At 47.1% G+C, this 15,708-nt stretch overlaps 1 protein-coding gene and 1 non-coding gene across 7 annotated transcripts in view, besides 2 other annotated features; one reads left to right on the forward strand and one right to left on the reverse strand.

The window, feature by feature from the left end:
• Window positions 211–15,708, reverse strand: part of B4GALT1 (beta-1,4-galactosyltransferase 1) — an 81,013-nt gene continuing 65,515 nt past the window's right edge. For 4 of the 6 annotated variants that reach the window (XM_047423231.1, NM_001497.4, NM_001378495.1 and 1 more), the window contains 3 exons: window positions 12,125–12,247; window positions 9,908–10,012; window positions 6,776–9,720 (listed from right to left, as the gene is read on the reverse strand). In XM_047423231.1, coding sequence (XP_047279187.1) covers window positions 9,588–9,720; window positions 9,908–10,012; window positions 12,125–12,247 — 361 coding nt within the window. In that variant the 3' untranslated portion in view covers window positions 6,776–9,587. Of the gene's footprint in view, window positions 916–6,775; window positions 9,721–9,907; window positions 10,013–12,124; window positions 12,248–15,708 lie in introns of those variants that run through there. The other 2 variants (NM_001378496.1, NM_001378497.1) reach the window with 2 other exon arrangements.
• Window positions 3,824–4,003: an enhancer, noted in NCBI's record as "active region_28272". NCBI's record gives its function as "activates an Ori minimal core promoter by ATAC-STARR-seq in GM12878 lymphoblastoid cells {active_cell/tissue: GM12878}" and the evidence as "EXISTENCE:reporter gene assay evidence [ECO:0000049][PMID:35858748]".
• Window positions 4,826–4,899, forward strand: MIR12117 (microRNA 12117). The gene has a single exon (NR_162131.1). It is a non-coding gene; the product is annotated as a microRNA 12117 (primary transcript).
• Window positions 7,725–8,324: an enhancer, noted in NCBI's record as "H3K27ac-H3K4me1 hESC enhancer chr9:33111589-33112188 (GRCh37/hg19 assembly coordinates)". NCBI's record gives its function as "activates a minimal SCP1, AML or CMV promoter by ChIP-STARR-seq in primed H9 embryonic stem cells {active_cell/tissue: H9 hESC(primed)}" and the evidence as "EXISTENCE:reporter gene assay evidence [ECO:0000049][PMID:30033119]".

The raw sequence follows: 15,708 nt of genomic DNA on the forward strand, positions 1-15,708 counted from the left end.
TAGATCCACTTCATCATTCTCAATGGTTGCATAGTACTTGATTGTTTGGATGTACTTCATTTTACTTAGCACAGTCCCCCGTTGACGGTGGCTTCTCATTTTCCAGGGCTACAAACAGCACTAGGGCGAACACTGACGCACATACATCTTGGGGTGTGACTTTGTTTTCTTAGGATGAATTCCTAGAAGTTGACTTGTGAGGTCAAAAGATAGGTCCACTTTTAGGATTTATTTCTCTATAGTCCACTCCCAGAATGGGTGTGGTAGTACCCTCGCCAGTACCAAGTCCTGTCTCTCCCAAGTGTCCTGCCCACTCTCCAATCCAGGGTCTAACATGGAGTTCAGGCTCTGCTTCCTGACACCAGGGGACCCTCCTCTCCTTCAAGACATAACCTATCTAGCTGACTCCATTTTCACCCCCAGGGATAATCCAGCCCCCAGCTTGTCATTTCTTCCTCTAAAAAGCCTCCAGCTCAGCCCCTAGTTTCCACCAACAGTCAGTGGGAACCAAGTGGGCACCCTGGGAGTAAGAGGCTCCTTGCTCCCAGTCCTGAGATCTTGACTGAGTCCAGGCTTCAACTTCTCCACCTAAGCCCCACCTGGCAAAAGGACGGTTGTACCTATGTCATAGCTTTGCCACAGCCCAGACTCCTTAGGGGAGGACAGCATTTGTCTCGAGAACAGGTAGCCGCTGAAAAGCCAGTCACTGGGGTCAAGGTCCCCAGCTGGATTCAGCAACCAGGCTGAGTCCTTATGACTGGCCAATCCTCCTCAGGTGGCACAGCCCACACAGCCAGCACGTCTCACGCTCAAATCTCCAGGAAGATGCTGGGACTAACCACCATGCGCTGCCACCTCCAGAGCAGAACAGACCAGGCGAAGCCTTCACCACAGGAGTCTTCTTATTTTTTCATACTGTGGTAAAATACACATAACAGAAAATGCATCATTTTACCTTTTTTTTTTTTTTTGAGACAGTCTCACTCTGTTGCCCAGGCTGGAGTGCAGTGACGTGCTAAGTAAATGAACTGCAACTTCCACCTCTTGGGTTCAAACAATTCTCCTGCCTCAGCCTCCTGAGTGCCTGGGATTACAGGCATGTGCCACCACGCCCAGCTAATTTTTGTATTTTTAGTAGAGACGGGGTTTCACTGTGTTGGCCAGGCTGGTCTCAAACTCCTGACCTCAAGTGATCCGCCCACCTTGGCCTCCCAAAGTGCTGGGATTACTGGCGTGAGCCACTCACTGCGCCCGGCCTCCACATTTTAACCTTATTTATTTATTTATTTTGAGATGGAGTTTCACTCTTGTTGCCCAGGCTGGAATGCAATGGCCCAATCTCGGCTCACCACAACCTCCGCCTTCCAGGTTCAAGAGATTCTCCTGCCTCAGCCTCCCTAGTAGCTGGGATTACAGGCATGCACCACCACGCCTGGCTAATTTTGTATTTTTAGTAGAGACAGGGTTTCTCCATGTTGGTCAGGCTGGTCTCGAGAACTCCCAACCTCAGGTGATCCTCCCGCCTCAGCCTCCCAAAGTGCTAGGATTACAGACATGAGCCACCAAGCCGGCCCATTTTAACCATTTTTAAATGGGAACAGGTAGCAACTGAAAAGTCAGTCATCGGGGGCAGAGTGCCAATGTAAAGTTCTGTGGCATAAAGTACATTCATATTGTTGCACCACCACCATCCATTTCCAGAACTTTTTCATCTTCCCCAACTAAAACTCTGTACTCATTAAACAATAACTCCCCATTCCCCTTCCCTTCCCCATGCCCCTGACAACCACCATTCTGCCTTCTGTCTCTGTGAGTTTGACTATTTTAGCTGACTCGTCTAAGTGCAATCATATGATATTTGTCCTTTTGTGACTGACTTATTTCGGTTAGCATAATATCTTCAAGGTTCATCTGAGTTGTAGTATATGTCAGAATTTCCTCCCCTTTTAAGGCTGACCGATATTCCATTGTATGTATATACCGCCTTTTGTTTATCCATCAATGGACTCGTGGGTTTTTTTTTTTTTTTTTTTTTTGGCTACTGTGAATAATAGTGCTAGGAACTAGTATCTGCTCAGGCTCCTGTTTTTATTTCTTTTGGGTATATAGCTAAAAATGGACTTGTTGCATTCTATGGTAATTCCATGTTTAATTTTTGGAGGAATTTCCATACCATTTTCCATAGGGGTTCCACCATTTTACATTCCTACCAGCAATGCACAAGTATTCCAATTTCTTCTTTTCTTTTACCCTGAATCAACAATGACTAACATCAGATCCAATTTCTGCATATCTTTGCCAACACTTATTTTGTGTTTCTGGTTTTTAAAATAATAACCATCCAAATTGGTGTATCTCTTTGTGATTTTTATCTGCATTTCCACTTAAGGGAGCCTTCTTAAGGTCAGGAAATCCTAGATCCCTTTGTCAAAGGACAGATGGCCCAGCTGAAAGAAGCCTGGGTAGGGAGTTTGCTCCCACGCTCCTCTTAACCCTATTTCTTACTCCTGGGAGCTGAGCAGAGGTACAGCCACCCTGTCCGCATCCCTGTGCTTCTCCCTCAGGCCCCTGGGTACTCTTGACCCTGCTGAGCTTGGTAGGGGATGATCAGGAAGCCTGAGTTTTGGAAGTTAAGGAAGAGCAGGTGAGAGGAAGGATGGAGACAAAGAAGCACTTCTGAGGGACAGCAATGGAGCGTGGATGGCATTGGGCACAAGAGGGAGATGTCTCCAACGCCATGCCAGCCCTCCCTCACCAGGTAGAACTTTAATAGCTTACCCCGTGATGCTCCAGGAAGCCCTGGGAGGGAGGCAGGGAGGGAGGAGAGCAGGAAGGGGTGATCCTGCTGCTTTTACAAATGATGACCCAGAAATAAATGGACTTCCCTCAAGAAGACAGAGAAGGTTAGTCGCAGGGCAAGAGGAAAAGTCAACAGCAGGGCACTTCCTACAGAAGACACAGAGACACAGAGAGGGGAACCAACTTGCCCAGCATCACACAGCAAGTGGGGAGTCAGAGACAGCCACACGTAATGGTCATTGTATGGCTTCCTCCTGGCTTGTCTTTCCAGGCTCCCTGCCTGGTGACCTGGCACTCACTCTCCCCAAATACACCGTGATATCATTGTGCCCTCTCTCTACTCTTGGTGACCCTGGAACACATCTCGCTGCAGGGCAAATGTCCTTGGGGTGTCATGTTCCTCTGGTTTCCAGTCTATTGACCCTGTCACTCATAACAACCTCCTCTGCACCTGGGGTTCCTCTGCCTCACAGCCTGGGTACAGGTCCTGAAGCCCAGAAAAAGGCAGTAGCCACATTCCCTGCCTGGGGACACTGCCAAAGACGGAAATGAGGCTTGCCTGCCATGACCGGCTCAGCCAGACAAACCTCATTTCCTTTCTGGCATGGTAAGAAGTTCCAGTTCTAAGAAGAAACCAGCCCTTAGGAATGTCTGAAATCCCACCTCCTGGAAGAAACAAGAGGGAAGGAGCCTGGATATGTGGCAGAAACTTGGTAACCTTCAGAATGTGGTCAATGTGATCATCCTCATTCCCTCCCCTCTCCCCCCACCCCCACACAGCTGGCCTCAGTCGAGAGCAGCAAACATGTCTCGCCCAGGGAGGCGCCACTCATTCACCCCCAGGGGCAGCCGCCTCCTTGGGCCCCTTGGCCCTGCCTCCAAAGAACAGCTGTAGGCCAGTGATTTGGCACCTGGGCCACGTTCTCCCATGGAAAAGAGGTGGTATGTGGGGGATCTGGTGATTACTCTCATGATTAAGGGGCTCTGCTTGGCTCAGACTTGGTTGTTCTGGGTCCTGTATGAGACTAGAAACAGAGCATTTCTTGAGGAAATGGCTGAGCCTAGGAGCCTGTCCTTGGCCCTCTTCCTCCTTCCTCCCTCCCTGGTCCCTTGGAGCCCATGGGGAGGGGGTTAAACCTCTTTCCCTCCCCAAGGCTGCCATCCTAAACACCTTCACTCAGGTGGGGAGTGGAAGGGTGGGGGAAACACTGTTGGTGAGGTCCTGGGTGTCTCCAGAATAGCAGCAGTCACTCGCCCTGAGGTTTACTCACCCAGCTGCCACATAGCAAAGTTCAAGACGTGTGCCCCAGAAGAGGAAAAGGGAAGATCCCCAGCACCTGAGTGTGTGCATATGTATATCTGTGCAATATGTACATGGCAGTCTGTATATGTCAACACATATGCCCACGTGAATTTCAAACAATTAAACAAGCGTAACACTTGTCGTGCTTATTATGAGCCAGGCATGTTCTAAGTGCTTCATAAGTATGGTATTAACTCACTTAATCTTCATAACAGCCCTATGAAATAGGTTCTGTTATAACTCCCATTACACAGAACCAGAAACTGAGGCAGGATTACTTAAGCCCAGGAGTTTGAATCCAGCCTGGGCAACATAGTGAGATCCCTGTCTCTAAAAAACAAACAAATAATAGAAAAATTAGGGGCCAGGTGCAGTGGCTCACACCTGCAATCCCAGCACTTTGGGAGACTGAGGCAAGAGGATTGCTTGAAGCCGGGAGTTTGAGACCAGCCTGGTCAACATATTGAAACTCTGTCTCTAAAAAAAAAAAAAAAAATTCTGAAAGGCATTTTGTGAGAAACTGAGGCACAGAGAGGCCAAGTCATTTGCTCATGGTCACAGAATAAGAGGCAGTGGCAGGATTTGAATCCAGGTATTCTGACCTCTCATAGGCATATGTCAGCTGTGTTATGCATGTTAGTGTGTAGGCATGTGTGGAGGTGTGTGGGTGGATGCGTGCGTCTGGGTGGATGTGTGTGTCTCTGTGTGTCTGTGTGGATATGTGTCTCAGTGAAGTGGAGCACATCAGTGAAAGGGTGAACTTAACCTTTCACTGGTGTGCTCCATCTCACTCAGACCTGACAGCTTGCAAAGTCCTGTGTGGCACTGTGAGATAATAAAATATATATATTTGGCCTCTGCGCTGGGTTCCTGGTACAGAGCCCCTAAAACTCTTATAATTTCCTGAGCAATAGGAGAATTTTTTGTTCTAATATTTATGCTAGGAGAATCTTTTGTTCTAATATTTATGCTAGGAGAATCTTTTGTTCTAATATTTGGTGCTTGACCCTGGTTCCTGACAGAGCTTCTAATCCCTTGGAATTTCCCGGGTGATAGGAACGTCTTTTGTTTTAATGAAATGATTCTCAGTGAACTCCTGGATGGGGACTGGTCACCAGAAAGACCAAGCCATGATGAGAAGGTTGGCACTTTCAGTCCCACTCCCATCCTTCAGGAAGGGGAAAAGGGCTGAAGGTTGAGCTGACTGGCAATGGCCGATGATGTAGTCTATCAGGCCTATGTGATGAAGCTTCCATAAAAACCAGAAGGACAGGGTCAGATGAGCTTCCAGATAGCTGAACACGTGGAGGTGTCTGGAGGGTGGAGCCCCTGGAGAGGGCATGGAAGCTTCTCTCCCCCTCCCCCATGCCTTGCCCTATGCATCTCTCCATCCGGTTCTTCATCAGTATCCTTTCTAATATCACTTATAATAAGACCAGTAAATGTTAAGTGTTACACTGAGTTCTGTAAGCTGACCTAGCAAATTAAACCCAAGAAGAGGCTCATAGAAACCCCAATTTATAGCTGGTTGGTCAGAAGTATAGGTCACAACTATAGCTGGGTGAGTGGTATAAACCTGCAGCTCAGCTACTTCTAAGTTGTGGCGGGAGGATTGTGTGAGCCCAGGAGTTTCAGGCCAGCCTGGGTGACACAGCAAGGCCCTGTATCCAAAAAACATTTTTGTAAAGCATAGGTCACAACCAACTACTTGTGACTGGCATCTGCAGTGGAGGCAGTCTTGTGAGACTGAGCCCTCAACCTGTGGGATCCGTTGCTATCTCCAGGCAGACAGTGTCAGAATTGAGTTAAACTGTAGGACACCCAGCTAGTGTCCACTAGAAAACTGCTTGTTGGTGGGGAGAAATCCCTACATATCTAGGGGCAGAACTGAAGTGTTGTGAGTGGTGGTGTGTGAGAAGGAAAGAAACAGGTTTTTTTTTGTTTGTTTTTAATTTTGTCAGACCCTCTAAGGCAGCATTTTGTCCAAAGGACCAGAGTTGTCCTGTTTGAAGGCCAGATCTGAACCCCAGGCCACCTTTGCACAGGCCTGAGGTCACCAGGGATCCCTCCAGCAGTGACATGCAGGCAGGGCCTGCAGCTCCCTGCCAAGGGTGGCTCTCCTGCTCACTGGTTTCCTGCAGCCCTTCTTCAGGAGTGCCAATTCAATCCAACCAGCCTGACCCAGGGCCACCAAGGAGGAGGCACCTGGGTAAAAACTAAGACCTTTTAGAGCTTATGGTTACATTTCCTGAGACTGACAAGAAACCTCATTTTGGATAATTCCCTTCAAGTTACACTGTGAGCACCTGGTGCAAATGGCCCTGAGATCTACATCTGAATGATCCTGGTATCTGTTGAAAATAGCAGAATGTGGCCCAAGAACTGCTAGGGGAAAAAAATTCTACTTTGAAATGGCACTAGCTACTATGTAGTGAGTACTTGTGAGGCATTAGTCATTGTTTTACATATATCGTCACTTTTAAGCCTCAAAAAAGTCCCTATGTGTTATTATTCCCATTTTACAGATAAGAGAATGAAGTTCAGATGGGGAAATGTCTGATTCCAGGGAGGCATGTGTATTTGTATGGGTCACAGACCAGGGAATGACCCTGTCCCCACCCCATCCCACAGCCATGACAACCCTTACACCTGGCAAACAGAAACCACCTGCAGTTACAAAGATAGGGTCATTTATTCACGTTATATTATTTAATTTTAAAGGCAAAAATACAGTTCTGTTTTGAACACCAAGATCAGACACAGCCCCCTACACAATGGTAAATACACACATTTGCATACACAGGAAATCAAAATACACAGCACAACAGGTCTCTGGGACATGAAAGCCGTCATCCTGGCTATGCAGAGCCCCCGCCCCTGGCAGTCAGCAGAGACCCTGTCCAGGCTGAAGGCCAGCACAGCATCTCCTTTACTGTCCTGTGCCACCTCTGCCCTCTCTGATCTTTCCCAAAGGCCAGTTCACACAGAGTCACCAGCAATAGGATACACAGAAACAGAAAAGGGCACGGCACATGACAACTTCGCGGTCATAACTCCCAGGAAAAGGAAATGCTCCCTGAACCCCCAGCCCTGAAATCCCCAGTAAGGAAACAGGACCCGCGGCATCTCACGGACCAGGCAAACATCCAGGCCTAACTGTGCCCTGGCTGTGCCTTGGGCCCAGGTGAGCCCATGAGAGCACTACGTCAGCAAATGGGGGGAGCAGTATTTCCCTTGGTTCTAAGAATGAACCACATACTTGACATGAATGAGAAGGTAACCAAAAAAAAAAAAAAAAAAAAAAAAAAAACAACAAGAAAAGGTAGAGTTTGGTTTTAAGAGTAAAATAACACAGAAGTTACCACTCAGGGCATTTGTCTGATTTCTTTTAAGGCACTTTGGAAAAGTCAGGATCTGCGGACAGAAAGAGAGGCTTTCATTCTTCTTATTTCCCACAACTCCCTCTCAATGCAGTCATTTCTAGTTTTAATAATATCCTTGGTATAGAGTGGGGAACTGACAGAGAAATACTTTTTGCATAGTCCAGCTGCTTCTGCAATGGAAAATAATTTTTAACCAATACAAAGGCTTCTGGAAAAAGAACCAAGTTAGCATCTGAGATGCGCAAAGCAGTAAAGGCACAGATAAGACTGGGGCCAGGCACCAGCTCAGCCTCCACACTGAGGGCTGGTACCCAGGAGGGCAGTGGTTTGGGGTCCGCCACGAGCACAAGGCTCAACCCTGGGATTAGGCAGCTGAGTCTTGGAACCTGAGCCCAGGCTGGACCTGGCAAAGGCGCTCAGTGGTAGGAGTGCCTTGTGTCATCTCATCCCAGGTGGCTCAATAGCTCCCAACAGAGGTGGGTTTGTGACAGACAGCCCTGTGGGTGGGAGCCTCAACTGGGGTGGGAGCACCTGTGAAAACCTGAGGTGGAACAGGAGGCTTTAGGCACCGAAGTTCTTGGGAGGGAGTTGGGGTGTGGGTTCGGCTGAACTTCTTTCTAGATCACTAATTAAAAGGCACATTCATGCTGGGGAATGGATAGTCTGTTTGACCCTGAGTGCCACAGTCAAGTTTTAGGGGACAGGCAAGAGGCAAAGGAACAAAAAGGGAGACGAAGGAAGGAATGAGAAAGGCAGGGGAAAAGAGGAAGGAGGAAGAACTGGTAACAAAGGGTGGGCCACGGAGTGTGGCTAGCAGAGCCTCTGAGGGAGGTGGCCCCCACCAGAACAGAGGCTCCCTCTGCCTGGGGAGGTGCAAAGGGCTGGTAAACAACCTGACTGCTGTTATTTACAACCCCCCAGCCTAGGGGCCTGAGGGGTCAGTCTAAGGAGGCTGAGGCTCCCTCCGCCCTGCCCACCTGGGGAGGGTTGGGGAAGTGGAGAGTTCTGCACAGTAGGTGCAGAGGCTTCTGTCTCCCAGGTATCCTCCCCGAGGTCTGGCAGGATAATGCTGACCGGGAGGCCTTACCTGCCAAGGGGCCAGAGGGTGATTTTGCTCTTGAGAAAACCTGGCCTGCCAGCTAAATCATAGGCCTATTTGTGGCCACTACAGCATATATTTATTTTTCTCCCTAAAAAATGCTCAATACCCCTCCCCATATTTAAAACACCACAATAAAAATACATAGGAAATTCAAGTTTACATAGCATGCCAAGAAAAATAAATTGTCATGACTTAACATTAAACAGCTATGCAAATTTGGATCAACACAAAATCAAGCTAGATCATAATTAGAACTCGATCTGTTCTTTCTTTAAAATACTACAAACTACTATTTAAAAAAAAACACAACAACTTTACATTCAGAAATCAGACAATCTGGAGATAGGCCACTGAATGCGAGAAACCCAAGGCTTTTGCTCTGATGCTAGAGTTGCCCTGGAATCCACACACATAGGACAAAAGGTCCAGGGCTCAAGTTTTAAAATCCTTTTGCTAAGAAAAGACATATGCACAGTGATTGCAGTGGTTGCATACCACTGAAAGAAGGGGGTGGGGGGAGGACGTAACATTAAGAATGGTTGAAATTTTGTGTTTTTCTGTTAAATTACAACTACCAAAAAGATCACACCAATCCAATTTTAGCAGCACTCTCCGAATTTTCACGAATAAGAAAACCATAATTTAAAGAAAAATTCTAACCTATTTCACGACAATTTAGCAATTCTATCACCGGGAATGTGTTCCACGGCCACCAAATTTTGGGATGTGTACAGTTCTGACTCTGGGGTGACACTGCGAACACATCAAGAAACCCGCAAAGGCATAAACACCTTGCAGAGCTAAGAATTCACATGCCGAGCCAAGTTGGGGGCAAAATATCCCACTCGTCCTGGTCATCTGGAAAGCCATCTGAATGATGAGCGAAGGGGACCTGTCACTCAGACTGGTAAAAATGAGAGGGACCAGCCCAGCAGATTGGCAGAGACACACAGCAGAGGTCCCTGGCTAATTTCAGGTCTCTTATCCGTGTACCAAAACGCTAGCTCGGTGTCCCGATGTCCACTGTGATTTGGGTATACAATGGGTATCTCTGTACATCCAGCACCTGGTAGGTGAGTGAGTTCAAACCATCAGAGAGCATTGTCTCCTTTGTGTGTGCAATTCGGTCAAACCTACAAGGAAAAGAGCACAAGGAGATTGTCTTAAAACAAAAATCTTAAGAAGAAATCATCACACGTACTTCCTCCTCCCTCTCCACTGTAACCTGACCACCTCAATTTCCCTCTAGGCCCAGAGCCTCGGACCTGCAGCCTACCTCATCCTAAAGGGGGAAGGAGTATGAATAAACAAAGAATGCACCTCTGAGGATTGGGTTCATTTTTCTTGTCTCTTGAGTGGCGGATCATGCGACACCTCCCGACCACAGCATTTGGGCGAGATATAGACATGCCTCTAAAAACTAATCTGCAAAGAGTAAAGGGAAAGTCATTATCACAGAGCTGCCATACACTTGGCCTGAGAGCCCCGGCTGCAAGACTGTTGCTCCATCCACCATCACCCTTGCTGTTCTCACTCAGCCCACAACCCAGCATCATGCCAGAACCCAGCCCAGCATGACCCTGGTTAAAACTCACATTCCGACTCCATGTCCTTTTACAACTGGTTCTGCGGTTTGTGGTGTTGACTACCATGTGCCAGACACTGGGGCCGTGTGCCCCACAGAATATACAGTGTGAATGCTTCAAACATAGGGCCTTTAGGGCCAGGATGGAGGTGAGAAGAGGAAGATGAGGTTGGAGACACAGAGGAAGAAGCATAGAGTTTGTAACCTCTGCTGGAGCAAGCCTAGGCAGAGCCCAGTTGAGGATGAACAGGTATCTGCCATAGCATTTTGGGCAGCCAGGATGGCACAGGCAAAGGCATGGAAGTGAGAGCAAGCCTAGTGCCCTCAGGGAGCAACGTAAGCTCCTGGGGACTGGTGACAAGGGTCTGGGGTAGGACGTGGCAGGTGATGGGCTGAAAAGGGCCAGGCTAAGTCACAGAGGCCTTCTCAGAGCATCCCACAAACGGTTGCCAGTATCTGAAAGGGGCCTAATATACAGTATTTCCAAAATGCTTTTAGCCATGGGGAAGTCTCTGGAAAGTAGTATACGAATGGAGGGCTTCAGAACATGTGGGAAAAGGCAGAAAAAAACAAATGGAGGGCTGAGAACAAGACTAGAGGCAGCCAGAACAGGGTGGAGGATTCTGTGTTGGTCCAAGGAAAAGGAATGAGGACCAAAATGAAAGCCTGGAGAGCAGGACAGCAAAGTTAGTTAAGAGGCAGAACTGGCTGATCCCAGACCACTTAAACATTCCTGGCCTTGCCTGGCACACAGTAAGTGGTGCATAGAAAGTGTTAGGTCCTTTATCTTTCAAGAAAGTTGCTCCACACACCACCCATCCTTCTAGTGCCACTGCGTTAGCATGGGACTAGATGCCTGCGGATGCTCCCTCCCTCCCCAGCTGTTCTGACCATTCAGACCTGTGGTATCCTGTCGGCCCTGCACACTGTCATATCAGTCCAGAGTGTCTGCCCAGGAGTGCCTCTGTGGAAGCAGGCTTGCTTCTGTCTGGACCCTATGTCCAGGTTTTCAGTGTCCTGGGCCTGCCTGGCACAGTGCTCTGTATGCAGCAGATGTTCAATGTGCACACACTTGATACCCCATCTACATACTAAAACTGGAGTTTCCTTCAAGGCTTATATTGAAGACGTGGGTCTCTGTTAAGTTTGCACACAATGGTAACTTGAATGACTTGGGTGTTGCTCTGACAGACACCTTCTGTTAACTGGTACTGCAATTTAGAAAGGCTGCACCAGGGTGTATTCTGATATTAAACTCAGTAATGAGCTCAGACTGGCTCCTGGAGGGAGAAGGTGCTCATCGGTGGCTGGTGGGGTTGAAGCCTCTACAGCCAGAGGACTGAGCAGAATGTTCTTTCAAATGCTACTGATAGATGTTTTTTACCACTGTAAATGACAACCCACATCATAATGATTTACCAGCTTAAAAAGAGCCCCAGGATGTGGATGGGACAGAACTGACCAGGCCATAATGGTTGCTGGGGCTGGATAGGTCCTCAAAGGTTTATTATACTACAGTATCTCTTTTGTATATGTGAAAATACTCCAAAATAAAAATATAACACAAAGCTTCTGTGAAGACAGTTAGGATTCTGCTCAAGGAAACTTGTTTCACAGTGAAAGGGGACCATAATGAAAGGAGGGATTTTTACAAAGGACATTGGTTTACTCCTTGAGTACAAAACGGCATGCAGCAAGTCAAAGTAAACTTGCCCCGTCACTTGGTTCCCATTTGACATTTTTCCAGGCCAATACAAAAATCTCAGAAACTCATTTTCCTACAGATCCCTTTTAGCACCTGCAGGACCTGTAGGAAGCCACACCTAAGAATGTGGGCTGACTAGGGGTGCATCCCATCTGAGGGTCAGTCCTTGGGGAACAACCAAGCATTGGTTAAAAAACTGGAAGTGAAGGTTGACAGAGGAGAAAGATATCTAAGTTATGACCATTACCTGTTAAAAATGTCATCATCTTCTCCTCCCCAGCCCCAATAATTATTAGGAAATCCATTGATGGTTAGAAACTGTTGTTTACTTAGAGCAGAGACACCTCCAAAATACTGAACATAAGGTAGGCTGGAGGAAAAACATACACACAGAAGGAGCAGTGGTTAGTTAAGTTCTGACATCCCCAAAATAAAGCTTGCTGAGAACATAAACACTTTTAAAGTTATTCTTTTTGCTTCTCTAGAGTTTTTATTTATTTTTTTTTTGAGACGTAGTCTTGCTCTGTTGCCAGGCTGGAGTGCAGGGGCGCGATCTAGGCTCACTGCAACTTCCGCCTCCCGGGTTCAAGCGATTCTTCTGCCTCAGCCTCCTGAGGAGCTGGGACTACAGGCGCCTGCCACCACGCCCAGCTAATTTTTAGTAGAGACAGGGTTTCACCATGTTGGTCAGGATGGTCTTGATCTCTTAACCTCGTGATCCACCGGCCTCGGCCTCCCAAAGTGCTGGGATTACAGTTGTAAGACACCAAACCGGATCTTTTTTTTTTTTTTTTTTTGAAGGAGTCTCGCTCTGTAGCCCAGGCTGGAGTACAATGGCGTGATCTCGGCTCACTGCAACCTCCGCCTCCCAGGTTTTCAAGTAATTCTCCTGTCTCAGCCTCCCAAGTAGCTGGGACTACAGGCGTGTGCCACCACACCTGGCTAATTTTTGTATTTTTAGTACAGATGGGGTTTCACCATATTGGTCAGGCTGGTCTCGAACTCCTGACCTCAGGTGATCCACCCACCTTAGCCTCCCAAAGTGCTGGGATCACAGGCAAGAGCCACCATGTCCAGCCTCTCTAAAGCTTTTTTGATGGTGGGTGGGGTGGGAGGGAGCAGTTACAAGGGTTTTGTCTGTTTTGCTTTTCTATCAGGGCTCAGATGACCTTAAATTAGACACAGATATCAAAAAGTATGATCTTCCTCTTTCTACAACACAGTGCTGTTTCTGTGGTTATGTAGAAAGCCAGTCAGTGACAAGAGCAGGCCTAGGCCCAGTTCTTCCTGAGTGGCTCAGGAATCTGCTTCTCCTGTGCTCTGTTCCCGCACATGAAGTCCTTATCCAGGAACTCCTGGAATCTGAGATTGTTTCAGAGCCTCTCTGTACCCACCCAGTCACAGCCCCCCTTCCACACCCATCCTATCGACCAATCCAGCTTTCATGCTTCCAAAGGCATACTGACTAGAACACTGGCCCTAACAGTTGAGGCAGTGTTTCTGAAAATTTGCTAAAATAAAACTTCTTTGAAACTTCAGACTTTATCCTGATTTAGCAAAATGTATAATGATGAACTTATGTTTTAACATATTTTCAAGTAGTAGAGCATCTGGGCTCTCATCCTTCCAAAACTTTTTGTATTTTAATATTTCAGTGGTTATGAATTGTGAACTCCTAAGGGATACAAAGTCAGCACTGATGAGAAATGTCAAGAATCAGGACGTGCCCCAAAGCCTTCCTGTGGGTTCTCTAAAGGCTGTGGTTTTGTGTGACTCTGAGTGCAGCTCCAAACCACACCCAGCTCTTTCTGGAATCCAAAAAGACCAAACCCATCACATAAATTAAGGAAAACTCTAACTCAGACTTTGAGGGGGAAGTCAGCCAAACCATACAGAACATATGAAAATAAAGATGCAATTATTATTTTCAAATATATTCAGGAATTCTGACTGTAAGGATCCTCAAGCAAAGGTCCCCAGGGGGTCTGCTTTAATGAACCTATTCGTAATTAGGTGTCATCACTTAGGTGCTGAGTCATCCACCTTTGGCACACCTCATACTACTGTCCACATTATTAATGTGAGGGTTTGAACCAAAGGTGGCCAGGCCAATAAGGTTTTCTGATAATCAGTGCTTTTACAGAAATGGATTCTTAGCTATTTCAGAGGGAAGTACATGCCAAGCTGACATGATTTGGTTTTGCTGTCTCTGCTGCTTTCTCTCCCCTATCTGCCCCAAGCCCAAACCTGCCAGGCTCCTTGTGAAACAAACATGGTGCTGTGGCAAAGAATTAGGGCATCACGGGCCCCTTCCTTGTTCACCACTGTGCTTCAAGGGATGAATCAAGAGGGGTCAGGGTATAAACCTGTGTGTTTCAAGAGAAGAAGATACACACACGGAGAGGGAGGAAGGGTGAAAGCGGGGACGGAAGGGTATAGAAGGATTTCTGAAGAGTCTAAAAGTAAGGTTACATTCAAATTTTCCTCCCTTTAAGACAAGAAGTTAGGATTTTTGATCTGGGAGAAGGACTTCATACATTCCTATATTCCCATCACAGCTCTCATGCTCCCAGCAAGGGAGGACAGGAAGAAATGATGAGAATAAAATGAGTCTGACAGAAAGCTGTTGCATCTCAGCAGGTGCAGTAGTTCATGCCTGTCATCCCAGCACTTTGGGAGGTCAAAGCAGGAGGATTGCTTGAGCCCCCAGGAGTTCAAGACCAGCCTGGGTAACATAGTGAGACATCTCTAAAAAAAAAAATTTTTTTTTTTTTAAATCAGCCAGGGGTGCTGGCCCACACCTGTGGTCCCAGCTACTAGGAAAGCCGAGGTGAGAGGATCACTTGAGCCAGGGAGTTTAAGGCTATAGTGAGCCATGATCACGCCACTGCACTCCAGGCTGGGTGACAAGCAAGACTCTGTCTCAAAAAAAATAAAAGAAAAAGAAAAAAAGTTGTATCTAAAATAAAGGGTCTGCTGTCTACATGAGCCAACCACACTGTACTAGTCAGCCTAAACCAGGGGTACCCAACATAGAGGGTACCTGCAGCACAGCTCCTGGATCTTCAGATTCACTTAAAGCAAGGAAGGAAAGGGTTTTGTTATTCAACTGATAGGTTTTTTTTTTTCTTTCTCTGAGACAGAGTCTTGCTCTGTTGCCCAAGTTGAAGTTCAATGGCGCGATCTCAACTCACTGCAACCTCTGCCTCCCGGGTTCAAGCAATTCTCCTGCCTCAGCTTCCCGAGTAGCTGGGATTACAGGCACCTGCCACCACACCTGGCTAATTTTTGTATTTTTAGTAGAGACAGGGTTTCACCATGCTGGTCAGGCTGGTCTCGAACTCCTGACCTCAGGTGATCTGCCCGCCTCGGCCTCCCAAAGTGCTGCGATTACAGGCACGAGCCACTGCACCTGGCCACTGACAGGTAATTTAAAACACTTTTATGTTAATATAAACACGGAATTAGGAAACAATATACAAGTTTATTTATATATTTACTTTTAAGACAAAACAATGGACTATAAGGCCATTTTCCACCAATGACAATATGCTTTGGATAATACGCTAGTCGGGCATCTGGGCTGGCCACTTCACTAGGGGCATTTTGGTGGAAAAATTTGGGCTTTGTATTTAAGCAGAAGTTTGTGCCCTGCTGGAAAACAGAATCACATTCCTTCTTATAGGGCCAAGGGCGGGAGCAGTGGTTCACACCTGTAATCCCAATGCTTTGGAAGGCTGAGGTGAGAGGATCACTTGAGCCCAAGAGTTCAAGCCCAGCTTGGGCAACATAGCCAGACCTCATCTCCACTAAAAATAAAAAATTAGCTGG

Source organism: Homo sapiens, chromosome 9, assembly GCF_000001405.40.
Source record: "Homo sapiens chromosome 9, GRCh38.p14 Primary Assembly".
Classification (NCBI taxonomy): domain Eukaryota; kingdom Metazoa; phylum Chordata; class Mammalia; order Primates; family Hominidae; genus Homo; species Homo sapiens.